At 55.4% G+C, this 19918-nt stretch overlaps 1 protein-coding gene across 15 annotated transcripts, besides 6 other annotated features; it reads right to left on the bottom strand.

Annotated features, from left to right (window-relative positions):
* ROBO3 (roundabout guidance receptor 3) lies at positions 729 to 16768 on the bottom strand. 15 transcript variants are annotated; one of them, NM_022370.4, is made up of 28 exons: positions 16463 to 16768; positions 13072 to 13398; positions 12593 to 12750; positions 12132 to 12252; positions 11897 to 12035; positions 11472 to 11599; positions 11062 to 11186; positions 9648 to 9819; positions 9111 to 9316; positions 8809 to 8890; positions 8338 to 8503; positions 7964 to 8130; positions 7291 to 7412; positions 6864 to 7089; positions 6515 to 6636; positions 6075 to 6246; positions 5740 to 5925; positions 5016 to 5039; positions 4891 to 4933; positions 4542 to 4681; positions 4069 to 4263; positions 3764 to 3902; positions 3404 to 3616; positions 2859 to 3010; positions 2625 to 2735; positions 2252 to 2413; positions 1592 to 1782; positions 729 to 961 (listed from the first exon to the last, which is right to left on the bottom strand). In NM_022370.4, the coding sequence occupies exons 1-28, from the start codon at positions 16620 to 16622 to the stop codon at positions 950 to 952; spliced, it is 4161 nt and encodes a 1386-aa protein (NP_071765.2). In that variant the 5' UTR covers positions 16623 to 16768; the 3' UTR covers positions 729 to 949. The 15 variants fall into 15 exon arrangements, 8 of the variants coding, with proteins under 8 accessions (NP_071765.2, NP_001357285.1, NP_001357286.1 ...); NR_163412.1 differs by lacking the exons at positions 5740 to 5925; positions 6075 to 6246; positions 6515 to 6636; ... (12 more) ...; positions 13072 to 13398; positions 16463 to 16768 and adding an exon at positions 5268 to 5386 and having other exon boundaries at positions 4448 to 4681; NM_001370356.1 differs by lacking the exons at positions 6075 to 6246; positions 6515 to 6636; positions 6864 to 7089; ... (11 more) ...; positions 13072 to 13398; positions 16463 to 16768 and having other exon boundaries at positions 5740 to 6018.
* Positions 5823 to 5942: a silencer, noted in NCBI's record as "silent region_4035". NCBI's record gives its function as "represses an Ori minimal core promoter by ATAC-STARR-seq in GM12878 lymphoblastoid cells {active_cell/tissue: GM12878}" and the evidence as "EXISTENCE:reporter gene assay evidence [ECO:0000049][PMID:35858748]".
* Positions 5933 to 6227: a silencer, noted in NCBI's record as "tiled region #2144; HepG2 Repressive DNase matched - State 4:PromP". NCBI's record gives its function as "represses a minimal TATA promoter and a strong SV40 promoter by Sharpr-MPRA in HepG2 cells {active_cell/tissue: HepG2}" and the evidence as "EXISTENCE:reporter gene assay evidence [ECO:0000049][PMID:27701403]".
* Positions 5953 to 6112: a silencer, noted in NCBI's record as "silent region_4034". NCBI's record gives its function as "represses an Ori minimal core promoter by ATAC-STARR-seq in GM12878 lymphoblastoid cells {active_cell/tissue: GM12878}" and the evidence as "EXISTENCE:reporter gene assay evidence [ECO:0000049][PMID:35858748]".
* Positions 13196 to 13726: an enhancer, noted in NCBI's record as "H3K27ac-H3K4me1 hESC enhancer chr11:124738370-124738900 (GRCh37/hg19 assembly coordinates)". NCBI's record gives its function as "activates a minimal SCP1, AML or CMV promoter by ChIP-STARR-seq in naive H9 embryonic stem cells {active_cell/tissue: H9 hESC(naive)}" and the evidence as "EXISTENCE:reporter gene assay evidence [ECO:0000049][PMID:30033119]".
* Positions 15776 to 16452: an enhancer, noted in NCBI's record as "H3K4me1 hESC enhancer chr11:124735644-124736320 (GRCh37/hg19 assembly coordinates)". NCBI's record gives its function as "activates a minimal SCP1, AML or CMV promoter by ChIP-STARR-seq in naive H9 embryonic stem cells {active_cell/tissue: H9 hESC(naive)}" and the evidence as "EXISTENCE:reporter gene assay evidence [ECO:0000049][PMID:30033119]".
* Positions 18792 to 19293: an enhancer, noted in NCBI's record as "H3K4me1 hESC enhancer chr11:124732803-124733304 (GRCh37/hg19 assembly coordinates)". NCBI's record gives its function as "activates a minimal SCP1, AML or CMV promoter by ChIP-STARR-seq in naive H9 embryonic stem cells {active_cell/tissue: H9 hESC(naive)}" and the evidence as "EXISTENCE:reporter gene assay evidence [ECO:0000049][PMID:30033119]".

Raw genomic sequence — 19918 nt, 5'->3', positions numbered from 1 at the left:
TAAGCTCCTCCTTTCTTTGAGTTTTTCAAAATAATTTTTTGTGAGGGGTGTATTTTCTTGTGGGAAAGTAGACAGACCCCAGAGGAGGGCACTAAAGAAGGGCCTGGCTTGACCTTCCAAAGGTGGAACATGTGTCTTATTACTGGGCATTTGGAAAGTCTCTATGGTTGTAACTCGGGAACAGTGAGCTTCTTACTCCTTTAAGAAGCAGGACGGTACAGTCCCCACCTAGTGTTTTTTCAGTTTTTTGTTTGTTTGTTTGTTTTTGAGATAGGGTCTCACTCTGTCACCCAGGATGAAGTCCAGTGGCACAATCATAGCTCACTATAACCTCCAACACCTGGGTTCAGGCAATACTACTGCCTCAGCTTCTCAAGTAGATAGGATGACAGGTGCACACAACCATACCTGGCTAATTTATTTATTTATTTATTTATTTATTTGTGTGTGTGTGTGTGTGTGTGTGTGTGTGTGTGTGTGTGTGTGTGTGTAGACACAAGTTCTTTCTAGGTTGGCCAGGCTGGTCTCAAACTCCTGGGCTCAAATGATCCTCCTGCCTCAGCCTCCTAAAGCACTGGGATTATGAGTGTGAGCCATTGTGCCTGGCCTAACTTAGTGCTTTTGACGGAGTGGAAGGGGAAGCAGAAGCTACCAGTGTGCGTTGATATACAGGACCCTGCAGTCCCCTTCTTCCCAACCTGCTGCACAGAACCAGACAGACAGGGCCCTGGGCTCTGATCAGACTCTTTTTATTGTTTTGTTTTTTATAAACAAGTCTCAGGTGGAAAAAGAAAGAAAGGGAGGAGCTAGCTCTCTGCCTTCTCAGCCAATTGAAATCGTGGAAACCAATGGGCTTCAGCTAGCCCCACTCATCACTGCTGGGGGGGAAAAGACATCCCTACTCCCCTTCCCCGTGGCACTCATGATATTCTCAATGCCCCAACAAGGGTCATCTTGGTTCCTAGGGAGAGAGAGAGAGATGCTGTTTTGTAAAACCCTGGCCCAGGGCAAACAAGTCCAGGAAGGGCTCAGGCTTTCTCTCTCCTAACCCAGTTCTCCTACGGTGAGCCCAGGCTCCTCTATTATGTGTCATCTTGTCCTCACCCCTTGTCATTTCTTTTGTTTTGTTTGTCTGTTTGTTTGTTTGAGACAGAGTCTCACTCTGTCGCCCAGACTGGAGAGCAGTGGTGTGATCATGGCTCACTGCAGCCTTGACCTCCCAGGCTCAAGCTATCCTCCCACCTCAAGCCCCCTGAGTAGCTGGGACTACAGGAGCATACCACCACGCCCAGCTAATTTTGTATTTTTTGTAGAGATGGGATTTTACCATATTGCCCAGGCTAGTCTCAAACTCCTGAGCTCAAGGGATCCGCCCATCTCGGTCTCCCAAAGTGCTGGGATTACAGGCATGAGCCACCACGCTCAGTCCCCTTGTCACTTCTACAGGATTCCTCCCTCCCCCTCACCCTCTCGATCCCCTCCTTTTGACACTCCTCCACAAGCCCTTGCCCACCTTCCTGTTTTCCATTACGCCTTGGTCCACCCTTCCCTAGTCCTCTGCCCTCATTTTTCTGCAATCTATGGCCCCTACCTCTCGGCGTTTCTGTCCTGGCCTTTGGCTCTGGCTCCGGCTCTGACTCCGACTCCGGCTCCGGCCAGGGCCCCGGGAGCCCCTAGAGCTGCTGGAGCCCCTGGAAGAGTTGCTGCCGGCCGTGGAACATGTGCTGGTGCCCTGGCCCCGGGACAGGAAGCTTGGTCTGCTGTATGGGAGCCAGGCCTCTTCTGCAGCACAAGAGGGAAGGGTAGCCAGGTGCAGGCAGGAAGCAGAACTTCCCTGTCACCCACCCTGCCACCCTGACCACAGGCTCAGCTCTGGAAGAAGATGAAGGGCAGGCACAGGGCTCAGCCAGCCTGGGGCTGAGGAGCAGCAGAGTGACCGGCACATGGCCTTGACATCATGGGTGCTCAGAACGCTGCGGGGGAGCTCCCAATCAGAGGGAGCCTTGTGGGGAGCGGGGACAGAGCACCTAGAGCCCAGTCCTCTTATCTGGGCTTCCATCCTGGGAATGAACACAACTTGGGACTTCAGGGGATTGTGCTCAGAGAGTTAGAGAGACAGGGGAGTTTGATGTGGATCAAATGCATGAACCTAACTAAAGGGAGGGCTGAGCTGGTCTACTATCAGCCCCCAGTCCCAAAGCCCACAGTCTCCTGTGGCAGCAGCCCTCCTGCCTGCCCTGGCCCTGCTTACCATCTGGGTGGAGCACCCGCTGGGCTGCCAGGGGCACGGCCTGGACCGCTTTCCTCTCCCCACTGCGCTCCCGCTCCAGGGAGGACATGCTGCCTGCTGCCCTCAGCTCTAGGGCCCAGCTCGCCTCTTCCTCTGGCGGTGGCAAGGGTGGTGGGGGCAAGTCTGGGGAGGGAGCTGTTTTCAGCGGAGCCTCCTGCCACTCCTGTCACTAATCTTTCTCTCACCTGCATTCCCTGGCACCAGGAGGCTGCCAATGAACAGCCCAAGATTGGGGTTCACCTGTTCCCTCCTCCAGCCCCCAGAGTGCACCCTTGGTTTCCTGCCTATCCCCCCGCCACTACTGTCACCATCTCCCAGGTGCATCCCCCCTCACCCCCAGGACTGTTCTCCCTCCTGTAGGGAAGAGCCTTGGGTTTCTTCCGGAATCGAGCACGGGGTCCTTGAAGTGGGGGAGTCATCTCCCCATTCCCCTGCCAGGTTCTGCCTGCAGTGTTAGGAGACGGGAAGAGGAATGGGTAAGGGCAAAAATCAGGAAAAAGGCCTAAGGGTGAAGGGGAAGCAAGCACTGGAGGGAGCCGGGGGGCAAAAGGAGGTTGTAGAGACTTACCTGGGGCACTGCTGGCTGTGCTAGGGGCAGGACTGGGGCTGAGGTGGGGTGAGGCTGCAGGGCCAGCACCCAAGCCAGCAGGCCTCGCTTCACGGATGCCCAGCATGGGCTGGGATACACTGAGAGGGGAACTCGGCCCAAGGGGCACCCTCCTGCAATGACAGGAGGCCGCAGCCTCTGTTCCCTCCACAAAAACTGAATGCCTACTATGTGCCTGGCACTGTGCTAGACAATCAACCTAACAGATAAACGAGACACAACCCGTCCGCCCGTAAGTCCTCCCAAGCTAGAGAAGCATAAGGAGAGCCATATCTGAAATGTCTCAGGTAGAGTGCTGACCACTCCAGCAAGAGCCAGTCTAATGGGCATGAGAGATCTTGTCAGCCTCCATATTCCTGCCCAAATTACACTTCCACCCTGACACAGCCCTGAGACCTCTGTACCCCAGATCCATCCACCCATCCATCCATCCACCCACCCAGTCATCTACTGAGTAGATACGTATAGAGGGCTTGCAATGAGTGAGGTACTATATACCTCCCTACCTGGGCATCTGATGGAGATGGGGCATGTCAGTTGGGGGCTGGGGAGGGTCAGGAGGTGAGGGTGTAAGAGTGGCTGTGGACTGCTGTCCATAGGAAGGTGTGGGAGAGGGGGTTTCCCTTCGGGATGGGGTGACCAGGCACCCTCCACTGGAGCTGGGCTCCGTCAGGTGACTTCTCTCAGGCATTGGCGGGCACCACTCCTCTGGCTCTGAGCTGGGATCAAAGAGGCAGGAGAGAAGGAAAGGGCTCAGCTGCTTCCATACCTTCCCGTTGGCCTTCCTGCTGCCCCCTCCCCTTCCTCCCCAGCAGCCCATGGTCTGGCCGCAGGTGTGTGGGCCTGGAAGCAGGGAGCATCTCTACCTGCCCTCCAGCTCCTCCTCCGGCCCTTCTAGGCAGCTCAGTTCACAAGAAGGAGGAGGTGGGGGCAGGGCTTCTGGCCAGTTCAGAGAGGGCATCTGCACAGGTTTCCCCAGAAGCTTCACTTTGCCTCCCTTGGCTCCTGAGGAGAATAGGATGGGGACACCCGGAGAACAGGCAGGAAAGAGCCAGAGATGAGACAGGTCAGAAGGAAGTGCCGGGCTAGGTGCCAGAGGGTCAGGGAGGAGGATCCTCTTTGGGGATACCCTGGTCAGGGCTAAACGGGGTTTCAGGAGTTGGAGTCATACCACTGTCCCCCTGGCTCCACTCTGGAGGAGCGTACTGGCTCCAGGGACCCAGATCTCCTGAGGGATGTTGGGGGAAGCCCCCATGGAAGGTCTGCAGCTCCTCCCCCGCTGGGTCAATGGTGCTATAGACAGGACCCTCGCCAGGGGCGGCCGTGCCCCTGGCCGTCTGAGCTAGATACAGGGAGATTCCCGCTTCTGCAGAGAAGAAAGAGGGAGGCCCGGAAGCAGAGACAGAAACATAGAGGACAACAGAATGGAAGACAAAGGGAAATCCCACGGGATCAACTTCTTCCCCCACACAAGCCTTACATCCTAAACCAGGGTGGAGGTAGGTCTGAGAGGCTTCCCCAGCTCACATCCTCCCCAGGGACTGACCAACCTCAGAGAGACCGGGCTCCCGGGCGCCCTTCGGTTTGCCCCAGTAGGTCGGGAGAAGTGCGCTGAAGCCAGGTGAGGGAATGAGAACTCCTCACCGTTGTAATATCTGTCGTCCGGGTCAGGATTGCTAGGGCAGCAGCTTCCCCTGGGTTCCTGGGCCGAGGGGCTTCGAGATGGGTGGGGCCACGAATCTGCCAGCCATGAGTAGGGGGCGGGGCCAAGGCCCATGGGTGGCCTGAGGGAGAGCAGGTGAGCGTTGGGGACGGAGAGCCTGAAGAGGCCAGCAAAGGAAAGGGAGGTGGCGATATTCGGGAGTTTCAGGACAGTGGCGGTGGTGTTGGGGTGGGAGGTGGCCATGCTCCCTCCACCTGGGGCGTCAGCGGGGCGGAAGAAGAGTGGCCTGTCGGTGGAGGTCATCCTGAGGAAATGGGCTAAGAGAATTACCTGGAACTGGCTCCAGAGAGGCCCTCTGAGTGCGGGAAGGACACTGGGGAAAATGAGGGGGCGAATGAGTGAGAGAAGGGCCCGTCCCGGGGGGTCTGAACCCCACTGGGGCAGAGATGGCTTACCTGCCGGTGTGTAGGCAAAAGAGGCTTCCAGAAAGGAACCCGTGGGAGAAAGAAGAGGTGAAATGAGGAGAAGGGTCAGAAATACCCCTATACTTGTCCACGCCTAGGCCCCGGTCCCAGTTCCACCACTCAGGCTGCACCCTGGACCCATTTCATCAGAATTTCTCGGGGGTGGGACTCAGGTGTCGGTATTTTTCTCAAGCCCCTCAAGTGATTCCTATGTGTAGCCAACCAAGATTGAAAACCACTGACCTCAAACACCTCAGAATCTCTCCAGAGACGTCCCTTACTAGGAAGTAGCAGAACTCGGATCGCCTTCTTTCAGCGGGCCCCGCCTTTCCATCCAGACCCCGCCGCACAATTTACTGCCTGGGATCCTGGCCACACCCCCTCTTGCCAGGCCCCGCCCCCCGCCCTTTGAGTGGGCTTTCCGTCCTCGAACTTGCCCCTTCTTTATGGAGATGGTTGCAAAGCCTGGCCTCCTCGTGGCGTCTTAGAGGCAAACGTCATCCAGATCCCGCCCCGTCTTGGCCCGCAGCCCTCCCTAGTCCTGGCAGCTCCTCGAGTCGCCCCACGTATCCCGCCCCTACCCAAGAGGCTGAACTCCAGGTGCGACCCCTTTCTCCCGACCCGGTCCTCACTCGCCAGCGGCTAAGCCCCTGCCCCTCCCCATGGGCCGCCTGGCTCCCTCCCGGATCCGTCCGCTCCGAGGCCGGGAGCTCACCCGTGTAGTGGCTGAGCTCTTTGCGCTGTTTCCGGCGCCAGTAGAGGGCGGCGCAGAGCCCGAGAAGCAGCGCCCCGCAGGCTGCGCCGCTGCCCGCGAGGAAGGCGGGCTCCCGCAGCACCCTCGCCAGCCGCACCGCCAGCCCCGCGCCCACCTCCAGCCCGGGCTCCAGGTCCGGCGGGGACGCTGTGGGGGTCAGAGAAGTGAGGGGAGGAGGGGCCCGAAACCCTGGAACTGGGAAAGGGTCATTCCCGACCCGGCAGGCACAGCTACCCCAGTGGGGGGCTTGCCCCGCCCCCGTCAAGATCCTCAGCACTGCCCTCGGGTGGACTCACGCAGCTGCACCAGCACTGGGGCACTGGGCACGCCCACGCCTGCGCTGGTGGCCGCCGCGACCAGGGTTCGATAGAGGAGACCGGGCACCAGTCCTCGGAGCATTGCGGAGCGTGCCCAGCCTGCTGCAGATCGATTGAGGTGAAAGCGGCTCTCATTGCCCAGGCACCAGATCTAGGGAGGCCGAGTCCCGGATTTAGAGTCAGAAATGGGATTCTTAGCCTCACCGGGAAACTTAAGGCTCCAAATGGTAGAGAAGCCTTATACAGATGTAATTCAACCTGGAAACAACACTTGGAAACCTCTCTCTTCTCCCCTAAACTCATCCCCAACCCTAAAGCCAAACCTGTAATAGATTTCCTCCACCCTAATTCTAGCCACTAGGTCCTCCCTCTCCCTCCCGGCCTGGCCCTCCCATCCAGTCCCTCCTCAATCCCTCTACCTGGTATTCCGTGATGACCCCATTTTGCTGGGAGGGGAGTGGAGGTTCCCAGGACACAGTGATACTGCTGTTGCCATCACCCCCCAAGGCCACCGCCACTCCCTGTGGGGGGCCACTGGGGGCTGGGCCAGGGTGGAGCATGGTGAGAAGGACACAAATAGTCATTGCAAGCTGCCCCTCCTGCCCCAACATTCCCCCTCCCTGTTCTAACATCTTAGGGAACTGAGAGCCATTCCTCCTTCCCACCCACTCACCCTGCTCTCCTCCTGCAAATTTTCATCCCCCCTCCACCTCCACCCCCACCCCTTCTTCCCTCTTGTCCATCCATCTGTTCGGTGGCCCTCCTTACCCTCCTCAGGAATGCTCCTGGTCACAGAGAGGCTTTCAGCCCCCAGCCCCTCCTGGCCTTGGGCTTGCACCTTGATCTGGATTTGGGTCCCTGGAGGGAGTCCTCTTAGCACAGTACTTTGCTGGCTTGGGGACTGTAGGTCCAACATTGTCCAGCTTCCTCCCTCAGGGCCTGCTACCCTCCAAGACACCCGGAAACCTTGCACCAGCTGGACTGGGCCATCCACCTGTGGGAGACAGGACAAGGCACACCAGAAGGGGAGGCTGGGGCCATACAGGCCCTCCAGGCCATCCAGGCCCAGCCCCTCCTCCCACTCATGCCGCCTTCCCCAGCCACTCACCTCCCACTCTCCCATACTCACTCTTGGAGGCCCTCATGTGCCTCATAATCATCCCCACCCTGAATCTCCTCCCCATACCACACTCACAGTCCAGGACACCTGCAGGGTCCGGGGTCCCAGGACTATGGGCTCCTGCAGGCGCACAGCCACTTCCGCCAGTCCCTGCTGGCCTCTCCATGGGTCCTCCACTGGCCTAGAGGGGCTGCTATCTGTTGACCAAGGAACCCATTCAGCAGAGGCCACCAGGGACAGGGAGATAGGGCTGAGAGTGTGCTCGTGTCCTACCTCTGCCCTGCTCCACTTAGTACTCCAGAGCACACCCCATGGTCAGGAGGGGACTGGTCAGGAAAATAGCTTCCAGACATGGGCCTCGGTGTCCAGCTAGCATAATTACACATGCATCCTTTAAAGGCCTCAGTTCCTCATCTCTAAGATGAAGATGGCCCCTCCATGGTCCCTTCTAGTCTTAATAATCTATATTATTATCTATGGGTAAAAGGCTCAGAAGTCAGAAGCTGCCAAAATGAATGACTACCTCTCTCCCTTTCCTTCTTCCCTCCTCCCCTCTCCCTGCCTTCCTCCTCCCTTGTCTCTTCTGTGAGAGGCAAACATGATCTCCTATTCCAGGCCGGGCCACCAGTATAGACCTGGCATAGCAGGAAAGAACTGTATGAACTGCCGTGGTGTCATGGTTTTGGGGGAGAGGGTTGCTTTATGATGTTACATTTCATGCTCATGAGCCCAGGGACTCTGACCTTACCCTGTGTACGGACAGGCTCAGAGACGGGGCTGGGCTCACTGAGGCCCCAGGCTCCCACTGCTCGAACCAGAAACAGGTAGATGGTATTGGGCTGCAGACCGCTGACTGTGTGTGTCTCCAGCTGCACGCCATCTGCCACAGTACGCCATGTGTTGCCAGCTGCTGGGCTACAACAAGAAGGAGATGACAGGGTTGTCTAAGCCAGGAACTCCCAACCTGCCTACTCCATCTCATCCACTCTCTATGAACGACCATTATGTCTTCCCCTTGCAAGAGGGTACTGGAGAATCCCACCTCACAATAGCAAAGACCCTAAGGGCATAGGATCCCCTCCTTTTAACTCTCCAGGTTTGCATTCAAAACTTTCTCCATACCTGAAGGCCTCTATCACATAAGACGTGACTGCAGCCCCAGTTTGTGGGTTGGGCTTCCAGGTCAGGGTAATGCTGTTCTTGGTGATCTCAGTGACCACTGGCTGAGAGGGAGCCCCCGGAGGGGAACTGGGTTCTGTAGGGGGGTCTGGTGATACTCCCCAGTCTTCTGCAGTGGGAGATAATCTTTAAGTAGAAAGATAGGGAAAGGATAATCCTAGTGTAACCTGTCTCCTTACCAGGGGAGCTATGGAGCTCTGAGCTGCGGTGATGGTCAGAGTGGGCTATAGTATATGAACCCCTACTCACATCTGCCTCCCATGGGTACCACTACTGTCCTTCTCATCCTCACCACCGTAACCATGGCATTTGTGACATAAAGTTAATCCCGGAGTTTGAGGAGGTATCGACTACCTGTTGAAGCAGGTTTGGAGGAAGGTATTATCAAAATAAGGGAAGAAAGAAAAAACTCACCCCGCATCTTAAGCCAGCCGCTCCATGTGGCTTCCCCTGTGGAACTCTTGGCCACGCAGCTGTAGAAGCCCATGTCCATCTCCTGGAAGAGAGGGCAGAGCACTGGCAAACTGAGAGTGGAGCAAGATCCAGTGAGGGGGTGGAGGCGGGTAGCAGAAGGATGGGAAGATGTTGGATACTAGGTGCTCTGAGAGAACAGAGGGGTAAAGATGGGGCTACAGGCCCAGTGAGTACTTACTTGTGTAAGGAACGTGGAGCAGATAGCCATTCTCAGCTACTAGGGCCCCAGGGGTGACACTCACCTGCACATTGGCGATGTACAGGGTACCGTTGGCCATTGTCTTGAACTGGAGGTCATCCCCCTGCAGCCACTGCCCATCCTTCTTCCATCGGACACTGGGTTGAGGGTTCCCAGTCACTCTGCAGGGCAGCCACACGGAGGAGCCAAGCACCAGCGTCTGATTGGCTGGTCCCTGGAGGATGACAGGAGGCAGCCCATCCAAAGAGGCTGAGAGAGGAAGAACGTGTGCACCTCAGGGGAGGAGCTTAGGGCCCCGCGGGCAGCCCCTTGTCCTCATTCTCTGCTCCTTCACCCTCCCTACCCCAGCCCCTGAAACTTCCGGTGATCAGAGGGGGCTTTGATAATCATCTGAAGTCTCTGCCCAGGACCAGCCATTATTAGTGGCTTCTGCTGCTGGTTTCCAAACTTCAAGGTCATGCCTCAGGAACACATCTCTCCTCTTGCAGACATAGTATATAGACTCCAAGAGAAACACATCACTTTAGGCCATTATTTCCTCCCAAGCCATGGATCCAGTCCTATCTCCATGGGCACGTACCTCCTTTTATCTCCAGCAGGGCCTTGGCCAGGATGCTGCCAGCCACACTGACAGCCTGGCACACGTAGTACCCAGCATCCCCACGCTGCACCGCGGTGATGTTAAGTTGGCCTCTTGGAGACACTGAGAAGCGCCCCGTCGGCTGAAGTGACTGACTGGGGAAAAGCAGGACCTGGGGACAGAGCAAGGAACCAGGGTAGGGAATGAGCAGGCAGCTGGGCAGGGAGAGGTCCCCATTCCTGTCAATCTCAAAATTCAGAGAATTCCTATGATTCTAGTTCATCGTCTGTCTCCAGCAGTGATGTGAACTTGGGCAAAGTAGTTAAATGTATTCACAAAAACATCAGGGAATTTTATTAGACAATTTCAGAGTCTACTTCCCAGCTCCGTGACTTACTAGTGGGGAAACCCTGAACAAGCTGTTTAACCTGCCTGAGCCCCAATTTCCCAAATTTGACTTCTAGAGGATAGTTATAAAGATCACATGAAGTAATCATATGAAAGTCTTCTAACACGTTGTGGTAAACACATTCCTCTTCTTCCTGCTTGAACAGTTTTCATTCCATAGATCCATGGAAGATAATCCATTAGATTAGACAGGGAAGCAGGTTTGGGTCTCAGGACAAAGGGCACCATGCTGAGACCCTGGGTAACACCTGCTTCACCCCTACTAACCGTCACCCTTTTTATTCATGTGAGAATCTAATTAGAATTCAGCAGTCCCAGGTGCTAGAAAAGATGTTAGAAAATTGTGGCTGTCGATTTGGAATGAGGTAGCAGGTTGCCTTGTTTTCCAACAGAGTGGAGCTCATCATACTTACTTTATCTTGCTGACCCTGTTTCCAGTAGCAAAATTCCTACCCTTCCTTTAGAGAGAGTTATTTATGTGGTAACTTCAGTTAATGTTCATTCTGCTTCTGGATTTTGAGATTTGTTTGCAAGGTTCAAAAGGGATGACTGTGAGCTCTCCTTTGTGAAAGTCCCTTGTTGCTCTTATAAATAGAAGAGCGAGTACTTTTCTACCCTGAGCAGCTTTGGTTCAATACTGTTTCCAGAGCAGTGTGTTATGTCCAAAGCCAAAGCCCAAGGGGTCTAAAGGAGGAGAGATAAACTGAATTTGTTACATCCTCAGGATAGCCTTGCCCAAAACAGAAAGATTCTCTAAGAACCTACCATCCAGGACTGTTCTCCACCATCTAAATGTATTATTATCATTTATTAAAAAGTGTCCCAATGTGTTCCAGGCCTTTTATATTCATTATCTTACTTAATCCTCTCAAATAACCTGCAAGGGTTTCTGGGGGCTCCCAAAGATAAAACAGAAGCCCCAGAGAGAAGTTTGCAGAATGTAGAGGGAGGGAGGCTGAGCCGCAGAGGAAGGCTGATGGGAAGCTCCTTGGAGATGGCCACCCACCTGACTCCCCTCCTTCTGCCAGAAGATGGCAGGTGGGGGGTTTCCTTTGGTCTCGCACTGGAAAGCCACGCTCTCTCCAGGAGCTGCCATCTGGTCCTGGGGCTGGGTCACCAACTGGGGTGGGACTGGGAAGGGCAGGTGAGAAAAAGGAACAGGTAGTCAGAGGCACTAAGAAAGGAGACTGCAGGAACAGGAGAGAGAAGCTCCAGCTTAGCTCAAGTGTACAGGAGCAGATATCCATCTCTTCCTCCCGGCCTGTTTAGTGTTCTCCTCCTCCCACTCCTTGCAGAAGTCTCAGGTGTTCCATCCACATGCCCTTCTCTGCCCTTTCTCCCTCAGTCTCTTGCCAACCATCCTCCTTCTCCCCTCCTACCATTCCTGCTGCAGGCAGTCCCAAGTACAGCCCTCACCGTGAACACTGAGGGAGCCAGATGCTTCAGCGCGGCCCACACTGTTCTCCGCCACACAGGTGTACGTTCCCTCATCTTCGGCACTCACATGCCCAATCCAAAGGCTGTGGTCACTCCGGATCTCATACCTGCTCCACTCCCCACCCCAGGCTGGGTTGGCCACAGCTACAGACCCTTTCTCTCTCCCCCAGGACAGACACCAGGGTCAAGGTACTTAAAGACAGGCAGGACCCAGCAGGGACAGAAGCTGGTTACCCATGGACCCATCAATGGAGGTGGGGACTGGATAGGACTGGGGCCACAGGCTCTAGGGAACAGACTTCTCTGTGTTCTCAAGTGAGAATGTGCCTGTCTTCCGGTTTTCTAGGGCAGAATAGTCTCTTGATCAGGTTGGGTCTTCCTACAGGCAGAAGGGGGTCTCTCACCTGCCTGTGGGCAGTTCCCCATCCTCCTTGCGCCAGCGTAGACGAGGTGGGGGATCCCCCTTCACCTCACATAGGAAAGTCACAGGGGCATCAGCCAGGACCACCTGATTCACTGGTCTGCGCAGGAATGAGGGACGCTCTATGGAGTGGTAGTGAGTGAACAGTCAGGGTGTCTGCACGGCTACTTACTCTGCAGGCTACCTGTTCCCATAATGTCAAAATTCCCTGTGCCTACCCAGTACCATGACTTCAGCTGCCGCACTCTCCCGTTCTCCCGCCATGTTGGAGGCTACGCACACATACATGCCTGCATCGCTCTTGAGTGTATGTGACATCATCAGCTTCCCTCCACGGATCTGCAGAGCAATAATGGTAACTTTGGTCCATTTCAGCTATCACAGCGTATATATATATGGTGAATATATGTGTATATACATATGTATAAAGTTTATTTGATCCTCACAGCAAGCTGATAAAGGAGACCAAGGAAGTTGACCCACATATCAAATGGGAAGTTCCTGGGGCATCATGCCCCCGCCCCTTTTTTATACCAATTCCGTCTTCCTTATCCCTCACTGTATAGCTGACTCTTAGTCTCTGGTTAGCTAATGCCCTGATCTCAATCTCCAGCCTTGTCACCTCCCTACCCTATGTCCCCTCCCTTGTTGGGGTCTCCAATCATAATCCCGCCCTCACCGTGATCCTTCCTTCCTCTTCCTTGAGTCTTGCACCGTCCTTCCTCCAGGACACGGAAGGCTCCGGGTGGCCGCGGGGGGGCACGCATTCCAGTACTGCTGGCTCCCCCACTGCCACCACCACGTTTCCAGGAGACTGCCGGAAATCATCACGGAGGACTGGGCGGGGCGGTGGGGGGCGAAATAAGCAGGGTGTAGAGTGACATAACTGGCTGAGGACACAGGGAAAGTGTTGTCTTGGGAAGGGGTTGATCGCTGCAGACTGGAATTCGTTCCCAGGTGAGAAAATATCAGCCTGGAGTCAGATCCACTTCCTTCTCTGGCCGTGGTGTGGCCATTAGAGATCAAAGGTCGCGGTCCCAAAGAAGGATGCTGAGTGGGCTGAAGTCCTTTGGGGCTGGTTCTGGGTCTGATTGCCCAGTGCCCTCCCGCCTACCCCAGGCTCTGGAAGCAACCAGCTGACGGTCAACTGACTCTCACCTGCCACTTCCAGCGAGGCGTTTCTGCTCGCTGCTGCCCCCAGGTAGTTGCGAGCCACGCAAGTGTAGACACCTTCGTCCGGCCGCGCGCGGCGCCCGTGCACGATGCGCGGGAAGAAGAGGGCGCCGCTGGGCAGCAGCAGGCGGTGCGCACGCGGATCCTCCCGCACAGTGGCCACACGCGCCCCGTTCTTGTACCACTCAATGTTGGGTCGGGGTCGGCCTTCAGCGCGGCAGGGCAACGTGGCGGGCTCGCCTCGGGAGACCAGCAGATCTGGCGGCTGCTCCACGATGCGGGGCATAGCGTCCTCCGGTCCTACCCTTGACCCTGGGGACAGGGGGTGGCGCAGAGCGTTCAGACAGGGAAATTGTGGGGAGAGATTGAGGCTCCAGAGGGAAAGAGAATCCTCTGGTCGTTCCATCTCCTATGCTTCTCTGCGGAGCTCAGTCCCCACCTGCCTACCCTCTCCCTCTGCAGGATCCAATATGTCCTTATTGGCAGACGTTCCGCGTTCCTCGTCTCAAAGGAAGATGCCTACAGACAGGCCGGTTAGTAGAGGGATCGGGACACAAACTTCTAGGCCGGCTTTCTGGACCACCTAGAGACCTCCGTCTCCTCTCCTGCCAAGTTTAAGCGGGAGTGGCTGAACCACGCTTGGCGAGTAGACCGCTCCCTCGCCTCCTGCCCAGTGGTTTCCATCTCCACCTGCACTGGTTCACGGATCGTCCTTGCTCAGTGAAAGACCATAAACCGTGCACTGGAGCCAACAGTTTGTTCTTGACTTCTGCAAGGTCCTGGCTCAGTGAAATTGGGAATGTGGACTGGCTTGGGATCCCTTATGAAAGGCAAGACGGGAGTGACAGGGCCGGGCCTAGAAGGGCTTGTCAACCTGGATTCTATGAATCGGCACAGGGCCCTTCTTACTGACACCCCGGATAATCACGCTTCATTTCAAGGGTCCTGTGAAGTCACAGGAATTGAACGCAAATAGCAGTAGAAATGTTAGTAAGGCTCCTTTTCCTGACAGGTGCATAGTTTCCAATAGATTATTCTACTGATTGATGTTCCTCTACTTCCCCTGTTCACTCCGATCAGTTCATCCACATATTCTGTCCTACCTGTCACTTGGCCTGCAGACTTTGGCCTGTTTCACCTTCTGCAGCACGGTTAGGATCCCGGAGCCTGTTATACTCCGGCACTCTCAGCCCCTAGTCCAGCCAACAAAAGTGGATTTGTAACCCGTGGCGGCCAGTAGGTGCCACTGCAGCCTTTAATAACCTGCTGTAAAATAACCAGGGACCACTTCAAGCATCTGTTCTGCCCCCTGCCCCCTCCCCCTGTTCCCCCCTTCCTACCCTGTTCCAAAATCTGCAGGAACCTCCCGCTTCCAGCCCGCCTGTGAGATTGGGTTTCATTTCCTGCCCCCCCTCTTAGAAGTTCTGTTGTAGACAAAGCTGGACAGGCTGACCCGTGCTGGCGCTGTTCTGAGTTTATTTTAATTGCCTGGAGTCAAGAAGATCGATTTCTGTCCCACTTGGGAGAGTAATTTTCTCCATCTCCTCCCTTCCAAATGGAAATCTCTGCTTTTCACCCTTCTCTTCTCCTCCATCTCCTCCCATTCCCAATTTTGGAACACCCCGTGGTGAGCAACACTGGAGTGATTGAGAGCAAGTGTTGCTGTTGAACCAACCAGGGCTGGAATCTCAGACTTTGACGCTTCCTAGCTGTAAGAACTTGGGCAAATTATTTAACTTCTCTCAGTCTCAGTTTCTTTCTTTGTGATGTGAGAGCAGTGATAGGGTTGCTCTAAGACCATAATGTATGTAAAGCCCTTGGGGGATAAACGTCACTACTCTGCCATTATTTAAGGGCTTGTGTTCCCAGCATATGCACCTTATCTTGGCTCCTACAGTCTCTACCTGAATCAAATTCTACCAGGCCCCAATATTCTTTTTTCCCCTTGGTATAGCCCTCAGGTGTAATGGAAATGGACTGATCTGTTATCGCTAGGTTTTGCTTCATGCTGCTTTTGTGACGATTAGGGCACCATTCACTCTATAAAGCGTTTTCTCGGCGGCAAAATGTGTCTGTCAACACCTTCCTTGCATACCTCACTAAGTTTCGAGCTTAGATGAGACAAAGTATGGTGAAAACACTCTGTAAACGCGCTAGGTGAGCAGAAGCGGGACTCTGCGGGGTGCCAGCGAGAAGGGATCTGTGCTTAACCTCCTGGAAATCTAGGAGGGTCAAGAGGTTGGAGAATCGGGCTCCTCCCCCATCGTCTTTCTCCCCAATCCTTCTATACGGACCACACCCTTCTGGTCGGCCTTTTCCCCCTAATTCCTGTAGACACAGCTGCAGGCGCCCTTTCCCTGGAATTTCCCCCTCTACCCTTCCCGGTCTCAGGAGATGCTTCGACTGCAGCCTAATGAATAGCTAATGGCCATGCTAATGAGGCTCTGGGGCTCCTCCCTCAGCACCTGATGTGCCCCACACATGAACACACACATATTGCCAGGGTCTCCTTTCTCTCCACCTTCGAGTCCCCAGCACAGTGCTCGTCACTAGACTCGAGTGGGTCGAGGCAGAGGGATGGGGACCGCGTGCACCTGGAGGGAACCACACGCGAAAGCGCCCGGTAAAGCGGGGGTTCCCGATGCGGCAGGCAGGGGGCGCGCTCCGGCCTCTCCGCAGGCTGGCGGCGGCCGGCTCCCGCAGCTTCCCCGCGGCGCTAGGGGAGAGCGCGCTGTCCCAGTCATTTATTAATCACCGTAATTAGCGGTAACGACCTCGCCGCCAGCTCCGCCCGCCCGCCACAGCTCTGCCGGGGTGGGCCGGCTGAGAGTCCCGCCGCTGAAAGACAAACTTCTAAGTTTCCTTAAAATGATCGCCGCCCCTATCCCCTCCGTAGCAAACACATCCAGCATTTTGGCTTCCTCTGGTCCTAAGTGAGTTCTTGGGAAACTTCGGGGTTCCGAAGACCAGCTGCCTGGGTGGGTCACCGAGTGACCTGGCTTGGCCGAGGCCGGCGGGAGACTGTGCCCCCTCCTCTGCCCTCCCTGCGCTGGGCCCGGGCCTTTCTTAGCTCGGACTTCCCTGCCCGTTACCAGCAACGGTTCTTCTCACCTGGGGTGGGCGTTGTAGGGGAAGGGAAGGAGGTGTAAAAAGACTCAGTAGCCATCTTCTCCCAAGCCCTCGACCTCCCGCGGGTACCCCCACTCATGTGCTCGAAGCTCCAAATTATCCCTTAGACCCCACGACCCAGGGAGGCGCTGGGAGGCGCCACTCAATCCCGGACCTCGGGACAGGAGCGCTTCTCCTTCCCTTCCACGCCGCCCTCTCACCTCATCCCCATCCCAGGATCCCATATCCCCAAGAGGCAGGGTCTCACCGTTGAGAGAGGGATCGCCGGGAGGCAGCAGGGTGTGGTTGAGCGCCGCCAGCGAGGAGTTGAAGCCCAAGAGCAGCTCGCTGGAGTTGGAGATGTCCCCGGCCAGAGAGTCCGCGAACAAGTTCATCTGCAGCAGCGTTTTCAGCAGGTAGCGCAGCATGGCTCGACCCAGCTGGGATCGGGACTGGGGGCTGGGGGCCCAGCCCCTGGGTCTGAGACCCGTGGGCTGGGAGCCGTAAGCCCCTCCACAGCCTCTGCGCGCTGCGGCAGCCACGGTGCCGCTCTCCTGCCGGTGCGCCTGGGTACGGTCGGTGCCTCTTCGTGCCCTCCTCCTTCCCTCGTCCTTCTCTCCACCCCCTAGTGCCGGAGTCCCCTGGGAGCTGGGCAGGCGGAAAGCAGGTGCCACGCCGATCACGGCGTAATTAAGGGATTAATCCGCCTCCCTCCACCCTCCCACCCTTACCTCTACAGTCACTATCCGAGCAGGAGACACGAGTAGCGTAGCGCGCGAGTTGGAGTCCCCGCCCCGCACCCCAAGCCCAGCGTTCCGTTCTGGACGCGGCGAGAGATTTTCCCTGTCTCAAAGCACCCAAGATGAGGGACGAGGCTCTGTCGGACTCTGCCCTTCTGCCCAACTTTAGAACAGGAATCTGTCCTCTCTTTTCCCGAACCTTTTGGAAACTGAGGCAAAGCGCAAGCAATGCTCCTTGCTGCCAAAGTTCTGGTTTCCATTCCCTCCCAAGTCTAGGGGTTTGGCGACGGAAGGGCAGGAGACTGGGGTGGTTTGCAGCAAGAGTTGGGAGTAGGCAGAGAATTCCAAGACAGGTCCACCTCTCTGCCCTCTGGTCCTTTGGTCTGCAGCCAGGAGGCCAGAGGATGGAGCGGCGCGCCCTGACCCGGGAGTCCTGCTCCAAACGCCCTAATCTAGGAGTTCCTGTAGGAGACTGAAAGCCAGGGAAACCCAGGCAACTGTCATTTATTTGAATCCTTTTACATTACCCTGCTTTGACATTTTTTATTAAATTGTTTTACGTTTTTGAGGAGACTGAAATGGAACCAAGGATTCTAGGACAAAAACAAAGATAATATTATTTTTGTAAAGGCATGTGGGATTGCTGCAAAATTAGTGCAAATCTGTTCAAATCGGATAGCAGTCGTCCTTCCTGGGGGGGGCGAAAAGAAAACCATGGGCCCCTACTCCCACCTCCCACTTCCAGTCGCGGTCTGCTTCTGACTTTTCTGGAGTTCTTTCTACCTGAAGACCCACCTCGACAAACTCACTTTCCTAGACAGGAGATGGCTTTGGGGTATCAGGGAAAGAGAGAGGCCGGGGCATTCCTAACCTGAGGTAAGGCCCTGCTGATTGAAGAGTCAGTGCCAGAGTTCTGGCTCAGCCGTCAGGTTCTGGGATGAGACAACTTTCATGGGGCGACTGCTTCTGACCCCAAAGGGGTCGAGATCAGAGGGGTGGGTGCTATACAGTCGCAGACTCTGGAGTAAGCAGAATCAAGAATTGAAATATTTCAGGCAGAGCTTGTTCAAGGGAACCCGAGACATTGTCAAGGGGTGGGGGGCTTGTTCCAAGCCTCCTTCCTCAGTCCAGGCGCCTGGCTGTGAGCCTCCAACTATGGGTGTTTAGGTGCCTTCCAACCCTAGCAGTTCTGGGCGGGACGTAGAAAGGCTGGAAGCACTAGGTGTGGGGGAGGGGGTAGGTGGGAGTGGGGGTGGGGCCGGATGGACCCCCCACCCCACCGCCACGCAGCGCCCTGGGAGCTGTCCTTTTCAGCACCTCATCTGCAGGTGCCTGACTAGGGCCCTGGAGCCCCCAGGGAAGACATAAATCCGAGCAGACCCTGAGGCTGAGGACTGGGGTAGGTGGGAGACGGGCTAGAGACACATCCTTTCAAAAGCAAGAAGATAATAAGAGATTTGACGCCCCTCCCTTCCTCGCTCCAGGGTGGTATTCAGATAAGAGAGAAAGTAAGGGATGTATTTCCCACCCGAAATCTATCCTTCAGGAATGACCAACACAGAAGTGGGTTCTAATTCTACGTTTGCCAAGTACAAGACGTCACCGCTTTGGATCTCAGTTTTCCCATCTGTTAAGGAGGAATTGGAGTGCTTGATCTACTCTGACCTGTGAGATTCGAGGCTCCGGGGCCCTTTGCTCCGCCCCCTGCTGACCGCGGTCACCTGGGTTCCATCACAGCAGAGGCTGAATCGGGATAGAAACCCCACGTCCTGGTACCAGGCCCTACTCTGGGGCGGAGGGGGCCAGAAACCCTCCCACCATGCGGCTCCTGCCCGGTCCTAATGCCCTGATTTGCTCCCGGCTGGCCTCTCCGCAAACACAGGGCCTGCCAGCGTCTAGGGGCTTGTCACCCTGTTAGCGGATTTGTTCCCGGAGACGGCGCAGTTAATTGGCCCTTTATGTGGGGATCAGGGCGTATTTGCTCAGGGTTCCCTGAGCGGAGGCGCGGCTCAACCCGTGAGCAAGGCTGCTTCACAGTCCCTGTCACGTGGGTTTGGAGGCTGGACAAATAGCCGGGCCACTCTACTTTCCAGGAATCTGCTGTCTCTCCTACACTTCACCTCGTCTGGGCTCTCTCTAATTTTCACTCTCCACTTTTTCTTGTTTCTCTCTGCTCTTTCCTTCTTTGTACTTCTCTTTATCTTGATGATACTCTCCTTTTAAACCAAACTCAGATCTAAGCCAAGAGGGCTGAGTTCTCCCAACTGGGGATATCAGAGAATAAATACCTCCCAACCATAACCTAAGTTCCCTCCCTTTTCCTTCCCATTCTCTAGTGTCCTTACGGCCCTGGGCTAGGCAGAGTGGAGCAGAGAGTGGGCAGAGAAGGCCCAGCAGAAGTCACACCTCCCAGCTCTTCTGCAGCCCTCTCCCCACCTTCTCTTCTTTACTGAGGGTCAGACAGGCAGCCTAGAAACTGGCCCTGCCCCTGTCCACATCCAGCTTCTCTCCTGGCTACCCCCATAGGCAGTTCTGAAAGGGGTTTGCCTCCTACTAGTCTCCTCACTGCCTGCTCTGCTCTCTGAAAATTACCAAGACAACTCTTTGTCCTTTTTCTGGAGTGGGTATGCAACTCTTTGCAACTATGTCCATTTCCTAATTTGTCAACTGTAAGTGCCTGTACAGCACCTAAAACACTGAGTAGATGCCCTGCAATTGGAGGAGCCTCAGCCGGGGTGCATTCATTCTGTTGACTTATAAATTTCCACCTTGGGCTGGAGAAAGAGTCAGAGTTGGGTTTAGAGACCCTCTCTTCTACCACCTCAGGAAACTACTTCTTTCCCAGAGTTTTACCAACAATATGTACAGTCCAGACTTTAGAAAGGGTAAGAAAAAGAAACAGAGGTTTTGAAGGAGATTTGGCAGAAAGAAGAGAGAGTAGCAGGAAGCAGGGAGGTTGGGGCGAGTTGAATTTGTAGAGTTAG

The sequence above is a fragment of the Homo sapiens genome, chromosome 11 (genome assembly GCF_000001405.40).
Source record: "Homo sapiens chromosome 11, GRCh38.p14 Primary Assembly".
NCBI classification, from domain to species: Eukaryota; Metazoa; Chordata; class Mammalia; order Primates; family Hominidae; genus Homo; species Homo sapiens.
This window is presented reverse-complemented; position numbering and strand designations above follow the sequence as displayed.

Coding starts and splice junctions, on each gene's coding strand:
- ROBO3 (NM_022370.4), bottom strand. CDS start 16,622: ATGCTGCGCTACCTGCTGAAAACGCTGCTGCAGATGAACTTGTTCGCG. Junction 9,317..9,647: donor CCTGCTGGAGATAAAAGGAG/GTACGTGCCCAT, acceptor TTCCTCTCTCAG/CCTCTTTGGATGGGCTGCCT. Junction 8,891..9,110: donor TGTACATCGCCAATGTGCAG/GTGAGTGTCACC, acceptor CCTCTCTTCCAG/GAGATGGACATGGGCTTCTA.